Source organism: Homo sapiens, chromosome 13 (assembly GCF_000001405.40).
Source record: "Homo sapiens chromosome 13, GRCh38.p14 Primary Assembly".
NCBI lineage: Eukaryota > Metazoa > Chordata > Mammalia > Primates > Hominidae > Homo > Homo sapiens.
Genome location: NC_000013.11, coordinates 29,501,289 through 29,528,312, shown reverse-complemented (window position 1 = coordinate 29,528,312; position 27,024 = coordinate 29,501,289). Strand labels below are relative to the sequence as shown.

Here is a 27,024-nt window from a genome sequence, read left to right as displayed (position 1 = left end):
TGGACATAGCAATAGTGAAGCATCAACCCTGCATGGAAGCCTGTTGAGAAGGTTTTGTTGGATGGTGTCTGCCAGTTAGGATGGAAGCCCCAAAATAACATTGGCTTCAACAAGATAAGGCTTTGGTTTTCTTTGGTTAACCTCTGGGGTTGGTCAGTCCAGCTTGTCGCTTCACCCAGCCAGGAATCCAGGCCAGGCGCCCCAGGGCTGAAGGCGGCTTCTCCAGCTCCAGTCAGCGGGATGGAGAAGGGAACAGCAGAGGGTCCCCTCCCTCCCCACTTCGTCTCCTGGACATTTCTCAGCAGATGCAGACACCACTTCTGCTCAAACATCCTCCATCAGAACTTAGCCAGATGGCTACTCCTTGCAGCTAGTGACTCTGGGAAACACACAGTCCTGATTCTTAAGGCTCATATGTCCAGCTGAAATAATTAAAGTTTCCATTACCACGTAGAAGAACAGGGGAGTGTGGCTTTTGAGCACAACTAACAGTTGATGTCAGGGTGGCTGGTGTGAGGGTGGCGGAGCCCTGCTGCAGGAAGTTCACCACTGATGCAGTGGGAGACCCTCGGGCCTGACCCCTTTCTATGCCAGGCATTGTCTTTGCTGCTTCTGAGCGACCAGCTGAGTGGAACACAGAAGGGCTGGTCAAAGGCTGCAGGGCAGGGAGCGCTGAGCTGAGACCAGGACTCAAGCTCACTTTGTCTCGGGGCGACATTTGCTGGGTGAGGGCTCTTGGCAGCCCCTCTCTTTCACATGTGAGTTGCCAGATGATGAGTGAACACAACTGCCACACGCATGTAAAAGGTTAATTATTGATTACATAGAAAGAGACCCTTAGTAAATATCTCTACGTTTTGGTTTGCGCCTCTGTAGAATGGATTCTGTGGTTATTTTGTGTTGATACTCTGCCACTGGCATCAGTAACACCCAATCTTTTCTTAAAGGTGGAATTTAACTTTTTGAGTTGGTAAAATACTACGTGGTTCATAACGCTTTAAAAAAGATTTACAATGCGTTCCTTTCTTCATCCACCTCATCTCCCACCCCCACAGGTAAACTTTCTAATTGTGTGTGTGTGTGTAAGCTTCCAGTTTCTCCCTGTGTAAGCACAAGCAAATGTAAATATGTATATTTTATTTCTGTTTTCTTACACAAAACGCGGCACTCCGTATATATTGTTCTGCACCTTGCATTCTTGCTTACTAGCATGCCCTGCAGATTTTTTTTTTTTTTTTTTAATCAGGCCCTTGTTCATTGTTATGGTTGCCCAGGGTCCCGGCACCCGGGTCCTCCTGAAGTCGGCTGTGGGTCCTCCTGAGGTCAGGTGTAGCGGCGCAGTACGAGGAGCAGGTGTGGCAGGGTCACAGTCAGCAGGGAGGTTTACGGATGCTCACGGTTGCACACAGCTCTGGAGTTGGCGCAGCACAGCACGTGCCTTCACCCCCATTCTGTAACCTGGAGGATTATCCAGTCTCTTCTGCAACTGTCCTGAGGAGCCGGGGAGGATGCCTTTTGTTTTGCCTCCTCGCTTTGCGCTCACCCATCGCCCTTGCTTCCTTCTCTCCATGCTTTTATTGTTGTGTGTGCTTTACCTGTCTGCGTGAGGAAGACACATTCCAGCCCTTCTTAGTCCCCTTCTGTGAGTTCATCTCTTTCTGGGATTTAATCATGTATGCAGTTCCCTGCACTTTCCACTTGCCCTGAAATGGAGGTTTCAGGACCTTTCTAGGTGCCTCTGCCTCATGGTTGCCTAAAGCTCATCTATCCATGATAGCATTCATTTATTTATTTATTTTTTAATTTTTAAAAATTATTTTAGAGACAGGATTTTGCTGTGTTGCACAGGCTGGGGTGCAGTTGCGCAGGCTGGGGTGCAGTGGCACAATCATGGCTCAAAGCAGCCTCAAACTCCTGGGCTCGAGCAATCCTCTTGCCTCAGTTTCCCAAGTAGCTGGGACTATAGTCATATGCCACCACACCCAGCTAATCAGAAAAAAATTTTTTTTTTGTACTAATGGGGTCTCACTATGTTGCCCAAGCTGGTCCCTAACTTATGGCCTCAGGTGATTCTCCCGCCTCGGCCTCCCATAGTGGGCATGCATTTATTTTAACGCAAGGCCATGTTGGTAGCTCTTGATGTCATAGGAGCTGAGTGGGGATCTGGGGGCTTTTCACTGCCCGTCTGTCACCCTGGCCGCCACAGGGCACCAAAGTGGGGCCCACAGAAGCCATTTTGACTCTTGAGTTCCCCTCCTCCCTTGGCCTCATCCTCCCCCTCTTGAGCCATTTGGTTGTCACCTGCTTTGTCTTCAGCATAGGCCACTGAGTAACAGAAGCCGTTTGCCAGGGTGGGAGTGGGTGGCCGGCGGGGCCTCTGGCCTGAGAGGCGAGGGGATTTGGATGAGTTGGGCACAGCTCCACTCCAGCCCTTTGCTGTCCTGCGGCCCTGCTGACTTGTCTGTCCTGGGATGCTTGGTTTTGAACTTGGGTTGCTAGTTTTAGTCATACTCTAACACAACAAACTAAAATTTTGTTTGGCCACAGTTTTTCCTGCGTCCATCACTTGTACATTTCTGGGGGTTTCCTCTCGTTACTGTTTATGGGACCACAGTAAACCCCACATCTACATGAGCTTTCTCATGCATGTACTTCCAGCGTCTTCATGGCAGTTTCTGTAACTGAGAGCTGTGATGATCCTCTAGGAATTAGTAAGGCTTAATCCCCATTAGAAAGTAGTTGGGTCCATCCTGTCTGTCTGTCTGTTTTATCAGCCAGTGAGTAAATCCCATTGAAAGCAAAGTTCACCAAATGGGCTGCCCAGCCAACCTGAGGGATGTCAGTGTTTATAGGACTGGGAGCATCCTACAGGGTTCCTCTCTTCATGCTGACAAGGTTTAGGGCAGGTTGTCCTGTGCAGCTGGGTGGCTGTCAATATGGTTGAGTGGGGGCAACAGAGGTGGGTGGTGAGCGTCCTCTTGGGCTCCAGGCCAGCCAGTGGGACCCTGGCACAGGACAGAAAGCCTGCGGCCCTGGGGCTGGCAAAGGTGTGGGAGTAGGGACTGCCCTTCTTGAACCACAAGGAGTGCAATTGCTTTTCGGGTGGCAGCAGAGGGTTGGATGCAGAAAGCTTAGGGTTACTTGGTGACCAGCAGGGGCTATGTGCCTCCTGACCAGGGGACAGTGGCCAGGGAAGCCGCCTGCACTGACTGCATGGTGCACCCCCAGAACACAGCATGTGGGGGGACAGGCCAGGGCTTTGTACATCAGGGAACAAGGGCTTGAAGGACCCCCGACAGGGCCCTGGGAGGGGCCATAGCGCCACACTGAACCTGGGCACCGTGTCTCGGCACAGGTGTCAGATTTATGGGACTGTTTTCTGAATGTTTAAGCAGCCTGCTTCTTCTGGACTCCTGAGTTTGTAAACTGTGCTTATTTTGCTTTTGCGTTCATCAGTGTAGCAAAGATGTGCTGAGCCCCTCCCGTGGGCCAGTGCCCAGCTGTGCCCGGGCCCCACACACCTGGCAAAAGCTGCGCCCTCCTGGACTCCACCTTGTGCATACAGGCAGTTAAGGAATGCCTTTGCTGACAAAGACTTTTATTTTAGCCTTAGTTTCTCTGGAATTGTTTGTTTTGAGATTGAGTTACTGGTAAATATGGGACCCGGGGTAGGACTGGCTGGCGGCTCTGCATCCTTCCTCCGAGGGGCCCTGGGGAGAAGGGTGTGGGACTGGCCGCGTGGCTGGTTTCTCCCCCATTTCCTGTTGGACCCCTGCCTCATAGTCCCCACGTCTCCCTACCCTAGTCATTGTTTAGAAGATGCTTCTGGAAGGGGCGATACTCTGCACCCTTGTGACCCTGGGCCACGAACAGCAGGGAGGCCTGCACACACGGAGTTAGCATGCAGTGGCTGGACTCAGCGTCTGAAGCCCAGGGCCTGGCAGCGGTAACAGGGAGGGCTGACTGCCAGGTTCCGCTCATATCAGGAGATGAGCACAGCTCCTTACGCCAGACTGCGCAGCGAGTGACGTGACATTTGTTTGCGGCTCTTTTTTCTAGTGACACAAAAGAAGGGAAGCCCGGTGTTGGTGGATTCATGCCCTTCGGGTTCTCTGGTGTCCTGTCGGGGGCAGCGACTTGCTTCTATGCCTTCGTGGGCTTTGACTGCATCGCCACCACAGGTATGTCCGCCAGCCACTGCGGTCCCGGGTCCTCCTGCACCCTGGGCAAACAAGCCAATGCTTGCCATTTCCCTCCTTGCTGGCACGGTCCAGTCGCCGCTCTTTCACACATGAGCAACATGTAGATTTGTAGCTTCCTGCCAAGCCCTCCCACCCCCAAACCATTATCACATCCCCAACTGTCAACACCTGATGAAAGCTGGATCTTGAATAAGGCTAAGGTTCCGCTGTTAGAATGGGATCATAGCTGTGTGGCTGTGGCCTGATTTCATATCTGAGCGTCTTCCGGGAGGAGTGAGGCTATTCACAACATTGTCATCCTGGCGGACTGAATAGGCCAGGCTTCAGTGAGCCTCCCAGATTTTCTCTGCCAAAGGAAACAAGTCTCTTCCTTGGCTGCATCACCACATTCAGGCCGAGAACACTGTTGCAGGGCCATGGGCTGTCTGATGTGTCTTCCTGAGCACCACCCCTCTGCTCCCGGAAGCACAGGAGGCCCCAGTGCCCACAGGGCTGAGTGCTGGAGGGAGGTTTCTCGTAGGGTCACGTGGGTTCCGGGGCACTGAGAGGCCTTGGGTGTCATGTGGGCAGATACACTGCCTCTTGCTGTGTGCCCTCCTCCGCTGACCCCTTGTGCTTCTAGGTGAAGAGGTGAAGAACCCACAGAAGGCCATCCCCGTGGGGATCGTGGCGTCCCTCTTGATCTGCTTCATCGCCTACTTTGGGGTGTCGGCTGCCCTCACGCTCATGATGCCCTACTTCTGCCTGGACAATAACAGCCCCCTGCCCGACGCCTTTAAGCACGTGGGCTGGGAAGGTGCCAAGTACGCAGTGGCCGTGGGCTCCCTCTGCGCTCTTTCCGCCAGGTGAGAGGCCTTTCTGTGGTGGCTGCTCCTAGGGGTGGAACCACCAGCAGGGGTTAGGCTATAGCAGGCCAGGTACAGCCATGCGAGACACACATCGGCTGCCAGCATTCTTTACCCTTGAAATAGACCCAGTACCCAACCCAGCTTTGATCATGTGGCTTTTCCCTTGTTGGCCAGTATTCATCATCCCAAGAGTTGTGTTATTGAGAAGAACCTGAGGCTGGCTTTTCAGCATCATCTGCTTAGCAAGGGACTGGTTCTCTGTCCCTAAATCTGGCCACTGGAACAGGCCCGCTGTTTGAACACCATATTTTGGCCCTCAGTTTAGCTGTCATGCAGAAGCTACTTTGATGAAGGGAATAAGTGCCTTTTAATGAGAAACATTTTCACCAATCGTATTTCCTCTTAGCCTGTATAAACAGAGCTATTTGGTAAATATTGATTTACCACAGGGAAATCTTCATGAATGCAGTGATGCTTGTATTTTCTGTTTGATTCAGCTAGAAATAATTGCAGGAATAAATACAGTTTTCCATCTGTAAAGACTGTACTGGGTCTCATGCTAGTGTATGTTAGATAGATGTTCCCTATTCTTTACCTTAATCCTTATTCACAGTGTGTGCTCTTTCTGGGATTGATTTATTAAATGCCAAGTCTTTTAGCCACAGGCCTCACCCAGCGTGGAGGGACGGCAGCTCTTGGTGAGCTCAGACTCCCTCTCCTCCGTGGTAAACCGAGCATGGCTGGATGTGGTGCCTTTATCCCTTATGAGCCAGGTTCACTCACGCGGTTTGCCTCTCCCCATCTAGTCTTCTAGGTTCCATGTTTCCCATGCCTCGGGTTATCTATGCCATGGCTGAGGATGGACTGCTATTTAAATTCTTAGCCAACGTCAATGATAGGACCAAAACACCAATAATCGCCACATTAGCCTCGGGTGCCGTTGCTGGTGAGTACTAGAACTCATTTCACATGGAAATGTTTTAACAATGGAGTCATTACTCCCTAGGGAGACGTCTTGCGCAGTTCTGGTCTGTGAGTAATCTTAACTGGTCTTTTTAACTCCTGGTTTTTATACTTGGAGCCTGGTTCATTGAAAGTTGACTGACCTTTTGACAAAAGGCAGAGGCCCGTTTGACAGAGGATGGGAGAGAATTTTTGAACAGTTTGCACTCTGGTTTTCATCTCAATGGGCGGAGCTTAGAACACACAGTATTCGAAAACCTTTTCTCCCCATTTCTGGACGTTTCCCTGAGTAGTCAAGGGCAGGCTGACACCTTCCTGCATGACACAGGCCAAGGGAGACCTCGCCAGTACCTGGAAATTCGGCGTCCATTTCTGAATTCTCTGGAAAACAAGTGTCCCTTATGATCAGTGTTTTATGAAATGTGCCGCCTCTTCCCCAGAGAGTATCAAGGGTGCTGCTGATGAAGCCACTTGCCCCTAAGTTTATACGTAATAGCAGACCCAGTGGAGTTTCATCTTGTCAGATGAGCCTCATCGCTGAGAGGACCATTTTGATGGATGAAATCAGTGGACTAATCTGAGCCGTGTAGGTGTTCCAGGGCCCCAGATGAAGGAAAGGAGAACCTACAAGGAAGCTCGTGTGCACACTGTACCTGTGGTCTATGTCTCCTCCTTTCGCGATTGCATTTCATAGCCCCGAGAGGCAGACGCCCGCCCCTTTCGCAATTGCATTTCGTAGCCCCAAAAGGCAGACGTCAGCCCACTGTACAGATGTAGAAGTGGAGGCCCAGGGAGGTGAAGCGAGGATGTGCACCCAGGGCGGTGGAGCGGCCTTGTGATTCCAGGGTTGTTTTTATGCCAAAGTAGCCAAGCTCCTTCCAGAGTCTGAGCAGAGCAGTGGGTCTTTTTGGCAAATTAGGGCATGTGAGATCAGTCACAGTTTCTAACACAGCGACTTGTCAAATAGCCATTGGTAAGGCACTTGACCTTCTTAAATGAATGAATTATTCACTAAGTTTTATTAGCATTTATGCCTTTAGCAAACTGTGCTTAGTTTTGTGGATTAATATTGTATAATAAAACACACCTATTTTTAAATTATGAAACATTTTCTTATGTGATTCTATGCTCTTGAGAGTGACCACAGTGGTCAGATTGAGAGGCACTATACATCAGAATGTGACCAGTATATTTACAGGATTAAGGACTTGGAAATAGTCATTGTTTTCTCAGGCTTTACGTGGAATTTGATCATATTAAAGACTGGCCTTAATTTCCTTCCCCTGCTGATAGAGGGAGATCAAATCATGCTCTTTGAAGTGACTGTAAAGTACATGCCATTCACAAAATCCAGGATTTACCCTTTTCATTTGGTGGGAGTGGTAAATAAGTATTTGGTTTTCTAAAATCACCTCACATGGAAGAAATTAGTCTCAAGTTTCCCGTGAGTAGGAACATCGGCATTTGTGGCATGCACAGTTGGGCGCTGTTCTGATTATCCAAAAGGCCCTCCCTCATTGCTCTTTAATTTTGTGTTTTATTCTCCATTTAAATTTGTTTTAGTTGCAGTGATCTAGAGGGGCTTGAGAGATATTTGTGGAAAAATAATGGCTTTGTGTTTATATTTTAGCTTGTGTTGATTGCATGTGTTTTGAAAATATCCCAAAGCAGATGTAGCCAAGTTGTTTTTTAATGAGTACTTGACATACACACCCATGTGAATAGACACGTATACTCTCACAACGCTCACAAAAGATGTTCAAATAAGGGTGCAGGTTTTAATTCATTTTAAAGGCAAGGGACACAGTGAAGGGGCTGATACTATATTGTTTGAGAACAACTCTTCAGATTTCTTCCACGTGAAGTGACTTCACATGTGAAGAACTCTGCTCTCCTGCCCGCCTGCCTGGGTTAGGACCTCCTGTGAGTCCTCCCAGAGCACCAGACTTGCCCTTCTTTATCACCCAGCACTGTTGTCCACTAATGCCTGTGTCTTGGTGGGGTACACTCAGGAAGGCTGGGGACTGTGGTCTGCCCTGTTCAATAGTGAGTACCTAGAACCCAATGATGGGCACACTCTGACCGGAGCTGGATGGATGGAAGATGGGTAGATGGATAGATGCTGAATGGATGGATGGGTGGATCGGATGGATGAATGGATGGATGGATAGATAGATGGATGAGATGGATGGGAGATGGGCAGATGGATGAGATGGATTGATGGATGGATGGTGAGTGGATGAATGGAAGATAGGTGGACAGATGGATTGATGGAGAATGGATGGACCGATAGGATGGATGATGGATGGATGCACATGAGTCTGTGAATCAGCATGGTCTAGAGGAAGACACACAGGACTCAGAGTCATAAGAACCCAGTTCACATCCTTATACCCTATGCTTGTGAACTGTGTGACCTTAGATGAGTCTCCTAACCTTTGTGAATGTTTATATCTATAATGTAGGGATGGCTTACAAAGTTGCCATTAAAATCACAAGAATGAAGGGATTCTCTATACAAATGTTAATGATGATTACTGTCTGTTGAGGACTGTGTCTGTGATTTAATCACAAGCTTAAAGGGAAGCTTGACTTCCCTTTAAGCTGTGTCTTTCCATGGGAAGGCCAGGGAGGGGGTGGGAGTAAAAGCAGCCCCCTTCGCTGCCCTGGATGGTGGGCGGCAGTGGTGGTCCTGGTTGTCATTGCATGCAGATGGCCCTCCACAGATCCTGGTGTCTGTCTCTTCCCAGCTGTGATGGCCTTCCTCTTTGACCTGAAGGACTTGGTGGACCTCATGTCCATTGGCACTCTCCTGGCTTACTCGTTGGTGGCTGCCTGTGTGTTGGTCTTACGGTATGTATGGCTTTTGGGGGTCTCATGACAGAAATGCAGATGCACCTGGTAGCCTTTTCACAGTTCAGCTATGGTTTATGTGATGAATGAAACTTTTAGGTTGGTGATAGCTCCATTGGGAGCTGCCAAGGAGAGGGGAGGACCTGGGTTGAGAGCCCAGTTAGGAGGACGTCCTTGGCAAGAGTTGGGTGGCCCCTCACCCCCCTCTATCATGTGCCCTCATTTTTATGGCTAAATGTTGGGTGGATAGAGACAGATTCTCGGTCCAACTATTAGGCCAGGATCCTGGGATCAGAAGGTTTGAAGACTGATTGCAACTTGGTTCAGATTCTTGGGACAGAGAGGATTGAGGGCTGCCCTGGTAGGAGTTAGGAAAACCCAAGGCCTGTGAAACCCAGCTCAGCATAATGCTTCTGCAGCTTCGTTGCGCTGTGGCTGGAGGAATGAATCCCATTATGTGGCATGGCGTGCCCTAGGTTGATGTTCAGAGACACTGTGGAGTCAGCTTGTTATAGCCTGGTGGGGGCCAGGCAAGCCTCTCCCAGTCACAGTAAAGCTGCTCTGGGCCTAGGCTTGGTGTCTCGGTGTTCTCACCTGCCTCAGCACCCACTCCCAAAGCACATCCCTGCGCAGCTTCCATCCTGAGAACCTGTGCTCATGGAGACGCTCAGCACTGGTCTCCCCTCAAGAGCCTCCTCATTTCTTTTCAGGGATTCCCACCTGCAAGGCCATTGATTGCATTTCCAAGGTGTTCAGCAGCTGATGCACATAAAACCCGGGCTGAGCCTTAGCAGAAGCTCTTTAGAATCAGCTAAGACTATTGGGGACCCCTTATTCCTCCCAAGGGGCCCAATGCTAGAATATTCTCTGAGGTCTCCCACTTTCTTAATTGACCGAGTGGGGTTGCACAAGTGAATCCATACAAAAATGGTTAATATCTTTATACTCCCTCTTAGAATTGATCATATGCAAAATAATTCATACAGAACTCTGTGTTTCAAAGCTGGTGGAAAAGATTTGCACTCTGTTCATTTCGGGTGGGAAGATAAGGCACCTCATTCAGAATGGATGCTCCACTAGCAGGTAGCTCATGTCTTGGAAATCACGCTGCAGGCTCGGCCCTCCAACAAGCCACATAGAATTATTTACCCTAAGGTACTTGGAGTTTTAAAATAAATTGATCCAATTAAGTCACACAAATAGAATTTCTCAAATCCATCTAGCCTGCAGCCACATTTCTCTGGCTCTCTGTGCCAAATAGGATCCTGGCATTACTGCTTCCTATTTCTCTCCTTCCCTTTTGCTCCCTACAGCAGTAATTTTGTGGGAAGTGGCCTAGTATCTTTAGCATCTGAGGGCCGCTGCCACTTCTCAGAGCAAGAGAGATCCTCTCAGGGTATTCCTCTGGGCTGCTCATGGTGGAGGTCATGTCGCCCCGAAGGAGAGACCATGGAGGATGTTCCCCAGAAGCAACAGCGGGAGGTGGTGTTCCCGGTCTCTCCTCGTCTATCTACAATGCAGCATTTGACTATATCCTTCCCATTTTATACCTTGTGTCCCGGGCAGCTCACTTTGGAGGCTTATTGAGAACTTGAGTTGGTGCACGTCATTTTGCTTGAAGCAGATGTGGCGGTCACGCAATGCCTTTCTTCCCAGGTACCAGCCAGAGCAGCCTAACCTGGTATACCAGATGGCCAGTACTTCCGACGAGTTAGATCCAGCAGACCAAAATGAATTGGCAAGCACCAATGATTCCCAGCTGGGCTTTTTACCAGAGGCAGAGATGTTCTCTTTGAAAACCATACTCTCACCCAAAAACATGGAGCCTTCCAAAATCTCTGGGCTAATTGTGAACATTTCAACCAGCCTCATAGGTAAGAGCTAGCCCTTCCCTGGGGCCTTGCTTGTTGGCATTGCATGGTTTCTAGGCAGTGGAGCTGGAGTTGGGGGAAGGTGCCAGAGAAGATGAGCATCTGTCTTGCTCCTGGACTGGGACATAGTTACTCTGTGTTAACTGTAGTTGTGCCTTCGGAAATGGAGCCTCTCTCTCCACAAGTTTAGGGGAGAACAGTGGATGCCTGTGGGAAATTGGGAAATGGTTGAGTTGCAGCTTGCTGTCTTTTCCTTCCCCCTTAGCTGTTCTCATCATCACCTTCTGCATTGTGACCGTGCTTGGAAGGGAGGCTCTCACCAAAGGGGCGCTGTGGGCAGTCTTTCTGCTCGCAGGGTCTGCCCTCCTCTGTGCCGTGGTCACGGGCGTCATCTGGAGGCAGCCCGAGAGCAAGACCAAGCTCTCATTTAAGGTGAGCAGCTCGGCCTAGGGAAGGAACCCTGGTACACAGACCCTGGCCCTCCTGATGCCTGGCCAGCCCTGCGTGGGCTCAGCCGGGCCTGGGTGCTCCCGAGGAAGGTTTTTGCTAGCCAGCTTCAGGTAAGATGGGGCAGGGGTCCTGAAGGCACAGAGAGGACCAGACCCTGGAAGGAGGCAGCAGCCCTTCTCCCCTGGACGTTTCCCTGAGTAGTCAAGGGCAGGCTGACACCTTCCTGCATGACACAGGCCAAGAGAGACCTCGCCAGTCCCTGGATATTCGGCATCTATTTCTGAATTCTCTGGAAAATAAATGTCCCTTGTGATCAGTGTTTTATGAAATGTGCTGCCTCTTCCCCAGACAGTATCAAGGGTGCTGCTCATGAAGCCACTTGCCCCTAAGTTTATACATAATAGCAGACCCAGTGGAGCAGTCCCTCCGGGGTGGTGGGATGCTTCTCGTAAATGTCTGCTCAAGTTGATGCATGAGTTTTCCAAGCCTTGGAGACGGGCAAGGCTTCTGCATTTTTAGATTACACAAATAATAAAAAAGGTTGTTGACCTTAGAGGTAAAGTGGAGGTCCGTCTTCTAGTCCTTTCTTTAGCAGGAGAATCGCAACAGAGAAAAATGAGAATGGAGTTCATTTGGCCATTCAGAGCTTAGAATCAAATCCCCACCTACTAAGATGTACCCTTGGGTGTGTTTGTGTGTGTGTTTGGGTGCGGGCTGTGTGTGGGGTGTGGGAGTGGGGGTGGGCACTCCCTCTCTCTTCCCCACACTCGCCCGACGGTCCCTGTCACTCTCAGTTGTGCTGCCTTTACTAGACAGTTTTACTGAACTATTGGAACCGGCGCCACTGCCATGGATTGAAGCCACCTCCTGTCTCTTCAGGTTCCCTTCCTGCCAGTGCTCCCCATCCTGAGCATCTTCGTGAACGTCTATCTCATGATGCAGCTGGACCAGGGCACCTGGGTCCGGTTTGCTGTGTGGATGCTGATAGGTATGTGATGCTGCTGCCAGCACGTCCAAGATCCTGGCTTCCCCTGGGGGTCTCCCTTGTTTCAGATTTCATAACAGAATGACGCACATCCAGTCAGCAGCTTTCTCGAAGATAATGCTGAATCCCTGGTAGGCTGTGAGTCCTCTCCTCCCTGTTAGATACTTTTTGTTTCCATTGCTTCTTGTCCAAACTATTTATTCTTTTGGGCAAGACCTTGATATTAACAGGAACAAGGTGATGAGTCTGCTGCAGATAAGGTACCAGTTATTTTCACCCCAGACAGGAAAGTCTGGCCTGTGCCTCCTGGCCCCCTGGCCTGCCCAGCACCAAATTGGTACGGGCACTAGGCCCAGGCAGGGTGGATGTCATGGGCTCCTCTGTGATTGCGTCTTCTCTGTGGAGGGAGAGTGCTTTGGAGCCTATGGGAGATGCCACTAGGGTGGGGAGCTTCCACATGAGATAGATCACCAGGGGTGGGTGCAGCCTGTAGTCCCACGCCTCTGGGCATCTCACCCCAGGGGCTGGAGGGGAGGATCTCATTTCCTTCCCCTCAGCATCTGAGTCATAGTGCTGATAGCCAGGAAAGTGGCCCTGGCCATTGCCCCTCAGGACCATGTCCCTACAGCCTCGCAGCCCTGAGTTTGCATGCTACGGGCAGATGGCTGCTGCCTCATCTCCCAGGGCCCTCGAGGGGTGCTTTTCCTCCAGGAAATACTTTGCGGCCCACTGTCTGCTGGCAGCCGGGTGGGTCCTCATTCCCTGCAAAGTCCAGCCTGTTAGACAGACGTCTCCTAGAGCCTTTCTGAGAAAAAGCTGCTCACAGCTCACTGGCCACTTCCTCCAGGCCTGGTGAAGGCAGAGGGGCGCCTCTTCCCAGCATCCCTGTCAAAGTCCCTGTGTGCAGGAGCCTGAGCTCCTTTCCTGGGCTGTGGGTGGCTGAGTCCTTGCTTTAAGGCCTGTTTTCCTGTGTCAGCCACACAAGGTGGCCCCAGCCCCTGGGCAGGTGGTAAGAAGCATAGGTCCTGGACCCACCCTGGAGTCCCGTGTGCAGGAACAGGCTGTGGACTCCTATGTGAAGTCCATTCCTGGGGCTCAGTGTCTCCTGCAGTCTGACGCTCAGTTATGTGGAGAAATGGGCAGTGGGACTGTCCAGGCTGAGAGCCTGGAGACCTCCAGCACCTGCGGGAAACCCCATCTCCATAGTGCACATTCTCGATACTCTCGTGGCCTCCGGGGGCATCAGGGGGCTAAGCTGAAGGACCCGATGGCCTCTGGTGGCCCTGGCCCAGCTGCTCTGTCTGCTCAGGAAACACCGCAGCATAAGGCCGTCCAGAGGAACGTAGGGCTTTGCCAGATGTCGAAGCAGACAGTGGCCTTCGTGTGGCAGCTGCTCCAGATGTGGAAAGGTCACAGGGGCCGCTGGCTGCGGGCTCATGCCAGGCAGGGGCAGGCCGCCTGAGAGGGTTTGCTGTGGGACCGCCCTGGGCTCTGAGCCCTGCCTGCGGTGGTGCAACCGGCGGTCTGTTCACGCCCGTCTCTGCTGTCGGCCCGCAGGCTTCATCATCTACTTTGGCTATGGCCTGTGGCACAGCGAGGAGGCGTCCCTGGATGCCGACCAAGCAAGGACTCCTGACGGCAACTTGGACCAGTGCAAGTGACGCACAGCCCCGCCCCCCGGAGGTGGCAGCAGCCCCGAGGGACGCCCCCAGAGGACCGGGAGGCACCCCACCCTCCCCACCAGTGCAACAGAAACCACCTGCGTCCACACCCTCACTGCAGCCAAAGGTGCAATTACTTGACCTGCAGCCCCAGCCCACCCTCGGCTCTGCAGCCGGTTCTCCGGGCCCTGGTCACCTCCAGACAGCTGCCTGGCCGGGGCCACTAGGCTGCGGCTGGCCACTGTGTCTCCTCACTTCTCTGAACAAAGCAGTTCCTCCCCTACCAGCTCAGCCCCGAGCTGCCGCAGCCTCAGGCAGAACGGAGGTCACCTTCTCTCCTTATCTTGGGAACCAGGCCTTCCTCCCGGGGACTGTTCTGGGATTGAAATTGTGCATACTCCAAACTTTCGCAGCCATCTTCCCGCTCAGCCCCAGACACCCAGCAATCAAGCCAGATGAGTACCACAAAACAGTGTGTCCCCAGCAGCTCCCCACCCCAGAGCCAAATGACAGTAGTGCACTTAAAAAGGAAAATCAGGCCTGTTGTCCTTCTCCGGTTGCATTCAGATGGGTCATTAGGGCCGGACCCTGCCTGCCCCTTGGCTTCTCAGGGCTTTGCTCTGACACCATGACAGCTGCCCGGGGCTGAGGGCAGCTGGCTCCACTCAAATGAGGAAGAAGGGATCACTCCCATTAGGGCCTGCTTTGCTTATGCATGTGTGTGCACATGCATGTAAACCAGGGACCTTCAGCTCACGGCCTCCAGGCCTGGGCCAGTTCTTGCTGCTCCTGCCGTCTCCCCCGACTGGCTGTGTCCTGAGTAACTGGAACATGAGACAGTATCTGCAGGACTGGCCCCATGGTGGCCGAGTCAGAAGTCTGTTTCCTGTGAGTCGCCACCGTTCACTCAGTCTTGCCCTCCCATGCTTTGGAGCCAGTCTGGTGGCTCCTGTAAGGTTCTCAAGGCTGGTGGCAGCTCAGTCTGGGGTCAGGACATGTCGGGGTCATGCGTTTCTGGCCCTGACATAAGCTGTCTGGCCTCTCTGTGACATGATGAAATTGAAATCAATCCACAGTCCATGAAATTGTGACACTCCACCAGATTAAGTTAGGGCATAACATTAACTTGGAAATGGCCATGTCATCACCCCTGCGGCTGTCCTATAGCTGAGATGCGTGGGTCGCAGGGGAGGTGATTTCTAGGCATATTGCTGTCCCTTTTGTGTATCTGTCATCCGGATGCTTCGGACCCCACGCCTCTGCAAGTGGGAGAGACCCGAGCATCCTCCCCACCCCCATAGCTCCAGTGCACGCCACCCCCGTCTTGCCTGGGTCGGGGCCTGCGGCCAGCACCATTTCACACACACTCCTTGTAGATGGGAGCCAGAGGAAACCTGAACGTGGGTGGAGCGTTCCACTGAGTCTACTTCAGGAGACAGAAGGCCCATGCTGATGGGGGAGGAGGAGGGATGTGGGCATTTTGGACACCAGGGGAAATGGAAATGCTGCTTTCAAAACTTAGTTTCCTTTCCATTTCTTCCTAGTCTGGCCTTTGACACAAATCTGGTAGAAAGAAGCCTGATAAATTGAGGGCACTTGTACCCTCCCTGTGCCCCCAGAAGGTTCTTGGAGAGAAGTGCAAGAATTTGTGAACACGGCGGTGGAGGGCGGGTGGATGGCCATGGGCTGAGCCTCCGTATCAGGCCTGCTCACCTTGCTGGGAGCTTTATTCTGATCTCATTTTGAATGTTCCAGAGGGAGCATCATAAGAGCCCAGAGCTCCGATTTCCAAAGAGTGATATTGACATTTATGGAGATTGGTGTTGTAACATATTTTGATAAATACTAACTTATTTTGTTGGGGTTTTGGTTGTCTCTTGTCTTAGGACCTGGTAGTTATTTGCTTGATTTTTTTTTCCGTTATTTTCTACATAGGCAAAGAGAATTCGAGGGATAGACAGTCTCCAAGAAAAGTGAAGTGGTGGGAGAGAATTGCTTTTTTCTTTTTTTTCTTTTCTCTAGTTTTTCTTTCTGGCTGAGATTTCCGTGCAAGACAGCACCCAATAGACTATTTAGAGTTGACATTTGACATTTTAATGGGCGCCATGGCTCATTTTGTAGATTGAGAAGGTGCGTCTCCCCTGCTCCAAGTCTCATCATGACAGCGTGCTGACAGCTGGGAGTCTGTGGCCTTCCTCACGCAGAGGCCTTAAAGCTGGACACAGAAGCACGCCTAGGCTGGGCAGGGATGGGACCCATGCCCCCTCCTTAGAGGACGGGCTTCCTGGTTAGGAAAGGACACGTGGGGGTGCCTTGCATAATAGTTCACTGGTCACCGTGCTTTTATGAGTAGTGTTTTTGTGCACTTGCCAGGGGTTTTCTCTCTGTGTGAGAGGGGAGTGATTTAAGCAATGGTGTCTGGAGTAAGCCTTACAATTTTAATAGACTTTTTCTTATCATATCCCTCATTTCTTTCCCTGAAATAAAAATACACACAAGCAAAAAAAAAATGATAGTTTCACATCTCTTAGTTCCCTTGCCCAAACAAGAATATTCTTAGTTCCACTGGCCAGGATTTTCCTACATAGTCAGAACTTACACATTACTAGAGGCACACCCACCAAGGAGTATTGTGTCTACTTTTATCTGTGCACCAGCCACAAATACCCACATTGGAAAGACCCATTTGTGATGGGTAAACATCCCTTCCTGTCTCCCACAACCCCTGTGACTGCCCTGCATGTGTTCATGACCTCCGAAGGCCCAAATTCATGAAGCAGCAAACCCAGCAGATCTCCACCCCCCTGCCTCAGGACCTCTGCTGAAGAGGGGGATGAAGTGGGTCTCCAGGGAGGCAGTGGGGGCCTTGTTGGCAGCTGGCTCGGGAGCCGGCTTACAGGAGGGCAGCTCTGCAGTTGGGAGGGGCACCGTCCGGAGGAGACCAGGCCTCTACACACCCCCCACTCTACTTATCATCCCTGCTCACACACCCTTGTCCAAGGCTTTATGCATCGGATTTATTTTTCCAAATCAAGAGGACAGTGATAGATGCATTTTCCCCAGGCTGTCTCAGAAAGGTCGCTAAATGTATACTGTTGTCAGAATTGCTGAGATCTCCCCCCACTTTTGGTTTTTGCAGCAGTAAAAACTCTTTCCACTGTGACTTATTTTCTCTCTCAGGCAGCCAGCCACCTGGTCCCTTGTGCTGACTCTAGCACAGTGGCCAGGATCCAATACGAGTCCAGGGGTGACCGCAGGATGGTGGGGGCAGCGGGCTTCTCCACCTACCCCAGCCACCAAGGCCCTGACGCACTGCCTCCTGCACCTTCAGCACATCCCTGTGCACAGCTGGAAGGGTGCATGGCCCGCTCACCTTTGTTCAGATGGGTGGAAACGCTGATGATACCAGCTCCTCCCTGCCGTGCCCCTGCCACGGAGCAGGCATTGTGAACTGGCTGGTGTTTGCAGTCCCACGTGGCATGGCCTCCAGCCCAACCCACAGTGGAGACTGGAGACAGGGCAATGAGTCTGGTGGGGGGCACGTGGACATGCCCCATAGGGGCCCCACCCAGACTTAACAGGCAAGGTCCTGGGCATTGCGCGACGCAGGACTCAATGCTAAAGCAAGCCTGCCTGGCTCTGTGCCAGGGCCCCTCTTCTGATTCACACATCCCATTTTTACACAGACCCTTCCTTCTTAATAAAGGCTGACAGTTCTGTTGGCAGCCAAGAACCCACACCATGAAGACAGGGAGTGAGGGGCCTTTGTGCCCAACTCCAGCACAGCTGCGTTCTGGGGTGTGTGAGAGGCATGTTCGTGTCTGTGCGCTGGTGGTCTCGTGAGACAGTTCCGAGGACGGGGAAATTGCAGGGTGGTGGGGGCGTGAGGCTTATATGTGGAACTGATGCAGAGTTCGCCTGCAGACGGATCTGGATATACACTATGTATAATTGTTACGTGTAATTTAAAATATATCTGTTTGCCATCGTCATGAGAAGATTATATGTAAGGCTCTGAAGGGAGAGGGAGATGTACATTCTGCCAGGCTCCTGGGGACCTTATCCGAGTCATGAAATTGATTACTGTTGATCCAGTGGTGCAAGAAGCTACACTCCATGTGTCATCACGCTTATGACTCCTAATGTATTTTTAAGGCAAAAAATGTCAGCCGACTCCATCTTCACCCCTCGATTCCTCGAGTCCAGCCTTTCTGTGCCAGTGCTTCACTGAGCCACAACGCTCTCGCCATCGGGACCCGGCTGGGCCTGGAGTCTCGGGGCACAGTTGCCATGGAGCCCTCCTGGGTCATTCTACAAATGTGCTGAGTGCCAGCTGAAAACCCCACAGGAGATGGAGTACCTTGGCCAAGCTTAAAGAGAAGATTTTCTCAGGGTATTTATTAGTGTGTCCAGCAGGGTCAGGAAGCAGGATGGAAAGATGCACTCAGACTGTTAATTTATTAACAAGGCAAATGATTTTGTGTTTCTTGATGACAGACTATTAAGTTTGGGACTTATTTTCCCATTTGAGAAGTTATAATATATATTTAAGATGATAAGTTTCCTGCTTAAGTTGTGCCTTTCAGCTTCAATGAGTTTAAGGAGCACTAAGGGTAATGATACCAATGAGGGTTGGTTTATTATCAAACCTGAATAGCTGTGGTTTCTCCAGTAAATATTTTCTTCTACTGAACATGGAGCCATTATTAAGAGTTGTGTGTTTTTTATTATGTACATTTGTATATTTTTTTGCTTGTTTGATGTTCTATTTTTCTAATAGTTTTCTTTTAGTTTCTTAAAGTTGTGATACTAGATTTAGATTCTGATGCTAACTGCAAATCAGGTTGGTCTCTGCTGGGTCTCTCCTGCTTTTATTTTACTTTAAGGACAAGTGTAGTTGTCGTCCACCACCTTTCAAAAAATGTGAAACTGCCCTGCCTCCCCTTTTTGCTGACAACACTGTGTACATTGACCACTTCCTACCATACTTTATGTTGTAAAATCAAACTCTTTTGTGGTACATTATCTCATGCTTCTGCAAATTCGAATAAATTCTATGGCTTCCATGTGCATGGTGTGATCTCAAGAATCCTAGTGGGTCTCTCCTGGGACCCAGGCCTGGAAGTGCCCCATGGAGAGTTCCAGATCCCGCTCTGCTTCCCCACAGCCCGTGACTTTAGTCCTATCTTCTCACTTTCCTGTAGCCATTTGGGGAAAATCCTTATTCCAACAATTTGAGCCTCAACCAGAGAATCCCTTGAGCCCCCATTTTGGATCTCTGATACTGTCTGCAGATTTATTTGGCTTTGGGGCCACAGAGGTCTTCCTTCCAACCAAGCTGTTGGGATAAAGCAGCTCAGAGGCTGCCAGTTGTCAGGCATTTGCTGAAGGACTTGGTCTCTGGCAACAAAACGCCCTCACCTGTTGCCGCCCCAGTCTGTGCTGGCCTGCACATACACTATCCTGTTAGAGGGAGCAGAGTGCATGCAGGGCGGAGGGGCTGTCGGGGAGTGTAGCTATCCTGGTAATTGTTACTATCTCACTCCCTCAACTCCCTTGAGAAAGGATCCATTTTTGCACTAGAGGCAAATTCAGTCAAGTGAGCCTTAATTCCCAGACAGTAAAAGGCAGTGATTCACAGCAGCTATACCAGAAGATCTGCTGCCCAGAAGATAAGGTTTGACCTTTGAGTTTTGTCAGCTGATGGATGGTGCTGAAAGCAGACACCCAGGGAGCTGTGCAGAGAGGAAGGCAGGCGAGCTGCTCTCCGGGCCCCAGCGTGCCTATGATCTGGAATATGTGATGAGCGTCTGCACCTGAAAGCATCATGCACATTTCGTGTTCCTTGGCCACACAGAAAGCCAGACCACAGAGCTTGCGTGGTGGGTAAGCAAGCTCGTGCAGCGTGCCCCTGGGACACAGGTTGGGCGTGGTTTCTGGCCCAGTGTAATTACTGCGGGAGGTTCTGCTGCTGCAGAACCTGATTCACAAAAGGGGCCAGCTTCGCAAAGCAGCCCAGAGAGCCTGATAGATTCCAGAACTGGGAAATAAGCATGGGGCATGCCTTGTTCCTGGATTTTTGTATGTGTCCTCTGGTCCCTAAGGATGACTTTGAGCCAAGTGCAAGGTGGACCCCAGTTCCTGCAGCGCCACACTGCCACCTAGTGGCTACTGCTTGGTGCCGCACAGACAGCTTGAAAAGGCCATGCCAAGTCTTTCAGCACTCTCTTCGAAAATCCTGACCGGTGGCTCCTCAAGGTCCTGTGGGGCGATGCCAGGCTGTAGGCTTGAGGGGTACCACCTGGAGAAAGTTTTCCCTTGCACATTTTGGTTATGAAGCACCTCTGGTCATTCAAAAGCTGCCTCCAAATGGCATTCGCAGCAACAAGGAAGCCTGTGGAGCCATGGCCTGGGGTGCTGGCCTGGCTTCCAACTTCAGCCCAGCCCTTACACCACACAGACCTGGGCAGGGTCTGAGGCTGCAGCAGGGAGGGCTGGAACCAACTACAGATAATCCCATCAACCCCTGTTCAAAGGGAACAGTTCAGTTTTACCAAATTAAGCCTGTCCACTCAGCCATAAATACAGCCATTTAAAAAACACAACGTGAGGAAAAGTCTTCAGGAATGAAACAGGCAGTATGTTTGCTGATGAGGGGAACAGCTTTTTGGCTCTTGGTGTGGCTGAGCACTTAATCCCAGTGGATCTGAGACTGCGTGGGGAAGAAAAAGCTGTGCTGGGTGGGACTTTGCCATGGATGCTTTTAAATTCTCCTTAAAACAATGCACCTGATGATGAGTGCCAGCTGGTTCTGAACCGCTGCTCCCACAGTGCAGGAGGAGGGACGAAGCCCAGTGCCTGCCGCGTGAATTTGGCGGTGCAGTCATGTGAGAAGCCGCTATGCACAGTCAGCAGCTGCGTGGCAGGTGCTCTCTTCGTGTCTGTGGTGTGAGTGCCTTAGAGGGAGGAGGCATGGGCACCCAGGAGGTCTGCAGACATACAAGGGACAGGGCTGTCTGAGCTCGGAGCTGTAGGGCATCCCGACCCTGCCTGGCGCTGGCACTGGAAAAAGCTTCCCGACTTAGTGAGTGAGGAAGATTGGCCTGCATCATCACGCTGCGGTGGGAGTGACCCAAGCCTGGCCTCAGAAACACCAGGTGTCTGTCTTGGTTTTATTTTATGAGGTTTGGGGCAAGAGGTTTGAAAGATGCAGACTGGCTAACAAAAATGTATTTAGCAAATTTAATTTAAGTGAATTAACATGCTCTGTCTTAACCACCAGAATGGCTTACCAGCCTTCGGGATTGTGTGTAGTGTGTGTGTATCTGTGTGTGTATGTAAGCATTTGACAGACTCTCACGTGGGCAGGATTCTCACCACTTGGTGGTTACAGATGAGGTGACAGGGTGCAATCCCAGAGTCATTGCTCGAAGTGTACACACTGATGCAGCAATGGCTTTGAGAACATCCTTCAACTTCAATCGCAGGTGGGAAGCTGTCCAACCATTTGGTTTCCACCTGTGCTTAACTCCGTAACTCCCTTCTTGCTAGGGGGATGCAAGTCTCCCACGAAGGGAGAGCCAGCTCTCAGGGCTCCTTGGCACAGAGGAGGTCAGTGAGTGAGTTGACTTCCAGAGTCTCCTCTGCCTACTGCAAATGAGCCGTGGAAGGGGACACCATTCTCCATGGACAGTGGAAAGCTGGCTCTAATCTCACCTCCTGCTCGTGTTGGTGGCTGCCACCCATTTGCTCCTTTGTTATGTGGAGGTGCTGCCAGCTGCCTTGTTTACCGCATAAGGTGGGGTAAGGACAATGGGAGGGGGTCATTATGAAAGTGAAGGGTGCTCAAGACACCCCAAAAGAAACAAACAGGTTAGGACACGTGGCCAGATAGATAGATTATTAATAACTAGATTGCCATCGATATACTGGGATGACCCAGAGGTGGCCCTGGGGTGTTCCCTGTGAGGTCCGGAAGTGAATTTGTGTCTCCAAAGGGTCTGTTGTTCACTACTTGTTCAGGAGGGACTTGCTGATCTCGCTGAAATAGCTGCCACTCCCACAGACCCTGCAAAACCACCACAGGGAACCTGCGAACCCAGCTGTCTCCCTTGTGATGGTGCCAGACACCTGTGGGACACTTCGAGGTCCAGCTGGCTAAACCGGCTGCAGCCCAAACTGAAGGCCATCGGGATGGGGGGAGCAAGCACTTTCAGGTTGAAATGAGTGAATGACCTTTTATGTCCTCCTTCCAGCCAACTCCAGCGCACCCGGCCTTGCAGAGCAGAGGCACTGAGCTCCCAAGTCCAGGGGAGGGGCTGCTCAAGCCCCCAGGCTGGAGGGGTGGGCGCAGGGACCTGGGACCTGCGGAGTCAGGGGAGAGGGGGTCTCTACAAGACTTCTCTCACGGACCATCACCCAACCCCGGCACACACAGAAAAGGGGTCCAGCCTGCAAACGCCACCCCCCTTGCCTCCCTGCCTGGGATCCCCAGCCTGAGAGGGACAGGTCTCCAGTTACATCAAGTAGATATCGCAGAAAGTCCCTCAAGTTTATTTTAATAGGCTTTAAACACAAATATGCAACACAAACTGTAGGGGCAGGAAAAGGGATGTTGTGACCCCATTCATTCAACTAATCACGGCCAGGGCTGCCCCCACCCCCATCCATTCTGACATCCAGCCAGAACCTTGTCCCAGCATGTGGTGGGCAGGGGCGGCGGTCGGGGGGCAGGCCGCCCACGCATCTCCCAAATGCCACGAAGAGACAGGTGGTATCTGGTGGGTCTGTCTGAGGCAGGTGCAGAGGCTGCAGCATCCGAACGTGGAAACGTCGCTCCAGCCTGGAAGGGGACAGAGGCAGACGCCACGTGGAGAGAAATCCGAATTCTGATGGTGTGGGGGGGTGGAAGAATTGAGAAGGAGGCACAGCAGCTGCCGCCCCATGTGTTTCGGGAGCGGTGATGGCTCAGATGAGGAGCCATACATGATGGGTGTCCGTAACAAAAGAAAAAAAACAAACAAACCACGAAGCCAGGGCCACGTGGAAATTAGCTCAAGTACCCAAGGTCAGGGCAGGTTAGGGCAAAGCTCTCACCGAAGTCCACCTAATGAGGAATTACTTAGTGCTAACGATGCTACAACTCTGACCACAGCAGCCTAATACACTGTACCACGTTCTAGCATCACACGGAAGTCAGTATTGCTGTGTAACTGCATTTAGCAGGTGCGGCTATGTAAGCGGTTCCTAATTCGGACAGCTAAGCTGTAACTGAATTTGTGTTTGCAGGTTGTGCCTGCTACTAGAATAAATACTTGTGTATTTAGTCAATGTGGCAAGATCTACTCTAATGGAATGCCCAACTCAATATCACAGTATCATGCAGAGCCACTAAAGCAAAGAGAAATGGTGGTGTTTCCATGTGGATTTACTGTGTACGTCCCCAGAAGGAGCAAGACCCTTGGAGGTTGGCTGGAGATGCACCTGAGGCCCGGAAGCCCAGCGTGGACTCATCCTAGGGCCAGGGACCATGTCTGCCTTCACGTTGGCAACACGTGTGCCGAGCAGGCGTGCCCTGGACAAGCCGACCCCGTCCGCGGGCTGTTTTCTTCCCCGTTCCATGGCTCCGGCCCCTGCAGGACCCCCTCATGGTTCTTCTCGCCTTGGGCACGCTCAAAGACAGGCCTGTGCTCAGGACAATTTTGGGGGGGTCTCAGGGAGAAAGTGCAGGGTCTTTGTCACATACAGGAAACAAGGGCATCATCATCATCACCATATCTGTTAAAACTACTTCTTCCTTTTGTGTATCATGCTCCTAATCTTCCACACCACTACATGAGTACTGTTCATATCCTAATTCTACCATTTTAGAGACAGATGCCAGTCCAGGAGCTGGTGCCCCCTGGCTGGCTGTTTCACTGGGCTCCTCTGTTTGGGAGAACCTTCTGGGTCTAAGATGGGAGCACGGTCAGCAGCAGCGTTGCCTGATCATCCAGCAGGAAGTGCAAGTGGGTTTCTGGGTGGTCGTGTGATGATCTAGCACAGCTCAGAACTGGTCCCCCGGGACAGAAATGGTGTTTTTTTTTTCTGGAAGCCCCTGCTAGAACCCCTGAGCCATCTCAATGTGCAGTGAAGGGGTTGAGTTGTAGAACCAAACTGAAGGGGGGCTGCTAGGAAATGGGGGCCTGAGGGTCCTATTTCAAAGAGTTGATCATTTACAGCATCGCATCAGAGTGAACCACATGGAAAGCTGGAGTGATGTTCCCCCTCTGTGCCTGGTCAAAATACAGACCTTGGCAGCAATTTCCTTCATGAGGATGGAGCGCGAATGGGCACAGTCATCTGCAAGGTCATCCTCACTCTTACTCAAAGGTCATGCTCTGCCATGTTTTCCGGAGGGTGCAACAATAGCTTAATGACCGAGTCTGAGATGCCATTTAGGAAAAAAGCAAAACTTGTGTTTACAAGACTATCAGAGATGAGTCACTGTCATGGGTAACATCTGCAAAACTGCTAAACCCCCTTAGGGTTTCCCACTGCTCTCCCTTATCCGCTCATGACAGGAGTATCAATAATTAAAACTTGCGAATGGAATAATAGTGATCTCACATCATGTTGACTGAGAAGCTGATTGTTCCAAAGGCAGTTACCGTTCACAAATAGCTGGTGTTCGTGTTAAAGAGAGTACCACTTGGTGGTGAGTTGAAAGGCGCTTCTTCTCTGTATCTTTTTTTTTTTCCTTTTTCTATTTTGGGTAGAAATATTCCTGGGAAGCTAGATAGAAATGCATTTTCATTTCCCAATAATTCTTAGGCACAAGTTAGAAAACTGCTGACCTTCACTAAAATATGTCAGCACTTCATGTTATAAAAAATGAAATTCAGAACCGCAGCATGTGTATATACGTATATCTAAATATACACACATATCGGTGCAGTACACAATGATTATTCAATGTATATTGAAAACTGAGCTTTTTGTAACTAACCTGAAATTCTGCAGTGAAAGTTCATTGCTCAAGAACAATTGCAAGTGTCTTTCTTTTGGCTCTAACTATGGTAAAACGTTTGCACATCAGACTTTACCATTTACACATTCCTAAGTGCCGACACCAGGGCAGTCTTACACGGGGATCAGAGGAGGACGCGCCTAGGATGCATTCGCAGCTACTGAGCATGCGCACAGGGCCAGCTCCGGCGGCACCGGGTCGGTGCTCCCTCAGGGTGGAGACCGGAGGACGAGAAGCCGGAGCTCCCGCAGGCCGTGTAGTGGCGTCATCTGGGTGTTGTGCTGACTCTGGCCGGAGAGGAGGGCCCCGAGGAGGAGCCGCGGTAAACGGGAGATGTGGGCGAGAGTTTAATCGGACTGGTCGGGTCCCCAGTTTGGAGCTTCCAAAGCAGCTCTTCATTGGTTCGGCTCAATCTCTTCTTCTCCTGGGTTTCCTTCTCAACATATTCCTGGAGGTTAGCATTTTCCTCCGACAGCTGTCTGCATGGGCACAATGACAAATAAGTAGCAATCATGCTAGTGGACACTGAACCTGAGGTCAGGACAATGGTGCAGGGCAAAGGGAGGAGGCCATGATGACCGCAGGGAGAACAGGGACCAGGGTGACCCAGTGACCAAGAACTTTGGTTGAATCATGATTTCCATTTGGCCCAATGACACATCTGTTCCCAGAGCCTCTCTGGCCAATACCCATCATCCCACAGGCCCTCTGCCCGGTCAGGGGAGGCACTGGCTGTCCACTGGACAGAGCAAAGGCCAGCGACTGAAAGGAGGGAAGCGGAGAGCTGGAGTGGGTATGCTGCCCGGAAGCTCCGAAAGGAGAGACAGCCGCGCAGCTGGCAATTGACAATGACAACAGCACAATAGCAGTGAAGAGCCGCGGGCCTTCCTGAGACTGCCAGGAAGCTGGGGGTGCCTTCTCCTGGCCTCCCTGCCCCAGGCTTGTGCCTCCACGATGGCAGGTGTCCTCCCCTGCTGGAAATGCTGCTCTAGGGGTCTGTGTCTGCCTGCTAGACTGGGAGCTCCGGAGGACAGAGGCCAAGGCTCTGCATGCTGAACTCCCAGCATCCAGCTGGTGCTAGGCACGTAACAGATGCTCAGTTAATGTTTGCCGATAAAGGCTGGTGGGTGAAAAAATGAATCCGAATTGCTTGCTTTGTTGCATTTTTGAAGAATGACAGCACCTCTGAGGAACTGACAGGAATAAGTACATATGCATTTTAAAGCTGGACAGACTGAAGTCCAGAAAAATCACCTCTGTTGGATAAAGTCTGCACTTGCTCTGCTGACAAGGGCACCTTTGCAGCTTCCGGAGCAAAGAGAGCTTGCTGCCCCCAGCACAGCCTTTCCTATGTGCCTCTGAGGTGAGAACAAAATGCCTGCACTAGGGGCTTAGTTATGGGGGCAATGGCTGTGTGTCCATTCATGCATGTGTGCAAGAGCGTATGTATGTGAGAGAATGTACATGTGAGAATAAGCATGTACATGTGAAGAAAAGCATGCACGTGTGAGTGTGCAAACAGGGCATGTGAATAGGTGTGAGGGATTGTATGAGTATATGAGTGTGTGCGTAAGTGTATGAGAGTGTGCCTGAGTGGGAATATGCAAGTGTGTGTGTGAGTGAGCAGTGCCTGTGTGAGTGCATGTGAGTGTATGCATATGCACGAGTTATGTGTGCAAGGGTAACACACCATGGGTGAGCATTGAGGAGCCTAGCTGAGTTGAGTGGGCAAGGGTTCAGGCCTGGGTCTTACTGATATGGCTCAGCCCTCATGGGAGAGCAGCTGATGAAGCCAAAACCCTGCTTTATCCCCGCATTGTGCTGTGTGAGGGAGGAGCCTGAACACCCTTCCTTGAAAGCTGGGGCACCTCAGAGCGTGGCCCCACAGGGACAGGCGAGACCTGGATGGAAATTGTGAATTTCTGGAAGTTGGGGTATCAGCCAGTGGTGGCTCTCTTTTTAGCCTGGGAACACCCAGCTGGCCCTCCTCTCCTAATCTCTTCCAAAAATAAACCCCTTCCCCTCCCAGTGCTGCAGGAGGACCCTGCTGCACACTTTTGCTGATTTCACTCATTTCTCTCAAGGTGGGGCCCGTTGATATGTGGCCAGGAATAGGCAAGATGGCCGCAGGGGTTTGTTCTTGTTCTTCAGGTCTTGGGGAAAACAGCAAGAGACTGTGGGGA

The 27,024-nt window shown here is 51.2% G+C and overlaps 2 protein-coding genes across 17 annotated transcripts in view, besides 1 other annotated feature; one reads left to right on the top strand and one right to left on the bottom strand.

The window, feature by feature from the left end:
- Window positions 1–18,899, top strand: part of SLC7A1 (solute carrier family 7 member 1) — an 86,275-nt gene extending 67,376 nt beyond the window's left edge. For all 5 annotated transcript variants that reach the window (XM_047430551.1, NM_003045.5, XM_047430550.1 and 2 more), the window contains 8 exons: window positions 4,060–4,181; window positions 4,825–5,047; window positions 5,857–5,996; window positions 8,764–8,866; window positions 10,523–10,740; window positions 11,003–11,169; window positions 12,067–12,175; window positions 13,730–18,899. In XM_047430551.1, coding sequence (XP_047286507.1) covers window positions 4,060–4,181; window positions 4,825–5,047; window positions 5,857–5,996; window positions 8,764–8,866; window positions 10,523–10,740; window positions 11,003–11,169; window positions 12,067–12,175; window positions 13,730–13,833 — 1,186 coding nt within the window. In that variant the 3' untranslated portion in view covers window positions 13,834–18,899. The remainder of the gene's footprint in view (window positions 1–4,059; window positions 4,182–4,824; window positions 5,048–5,856; window positions 5,997–8,763; window positions 8,867–10,522; window positions 10,741–11,002; window positions 11,170–12,066; window positions 12,176–13,729) is intronic.
- Window positions 3,653–4,343: an enhancer, noted in NCBI's record as "H3K4me1 hESC enhancer chr13:30098107-30098797 (GRCh37/hg19 assembly coordinates)". NCBI's record gives its function as "activates a minimal SCP1, AML or CMV promoter by ChIP-STARR-seq in naive H9 embryonic stem cells {active_cell/tissue: H9 hESC(naive)}" and the evidence as "EXISTENCE:reporter gene assay evidence [ECO:0000049][PMID:30033119]".
- Window positions 18,900–22,365: 3,466 nt separating the features above from the next.
- Window positions 22,366–27,024, bottom strand: part of MTUS2 (microtubule associated scaffold protein 2) — a 685,985-nt gene continuing 681,326 nt past the window's right edge. For all 12 annotated transcript variants that reach the window (XM_047430227.1, NM_001384605.1, XM_011535019.4 and 9 more), the window contains one exon: window positions 22,366–25,320. In XM_047430227.1, the coding sequence (XP_047286183.1) occupies window positions 25,107–25,320 (214 nt within the window). In that variant the 3' untranslated portion in view covers window positions 22,366–25,106. The remainder of the gene's footprint in view (window positions 25,321–27,024) is intronic.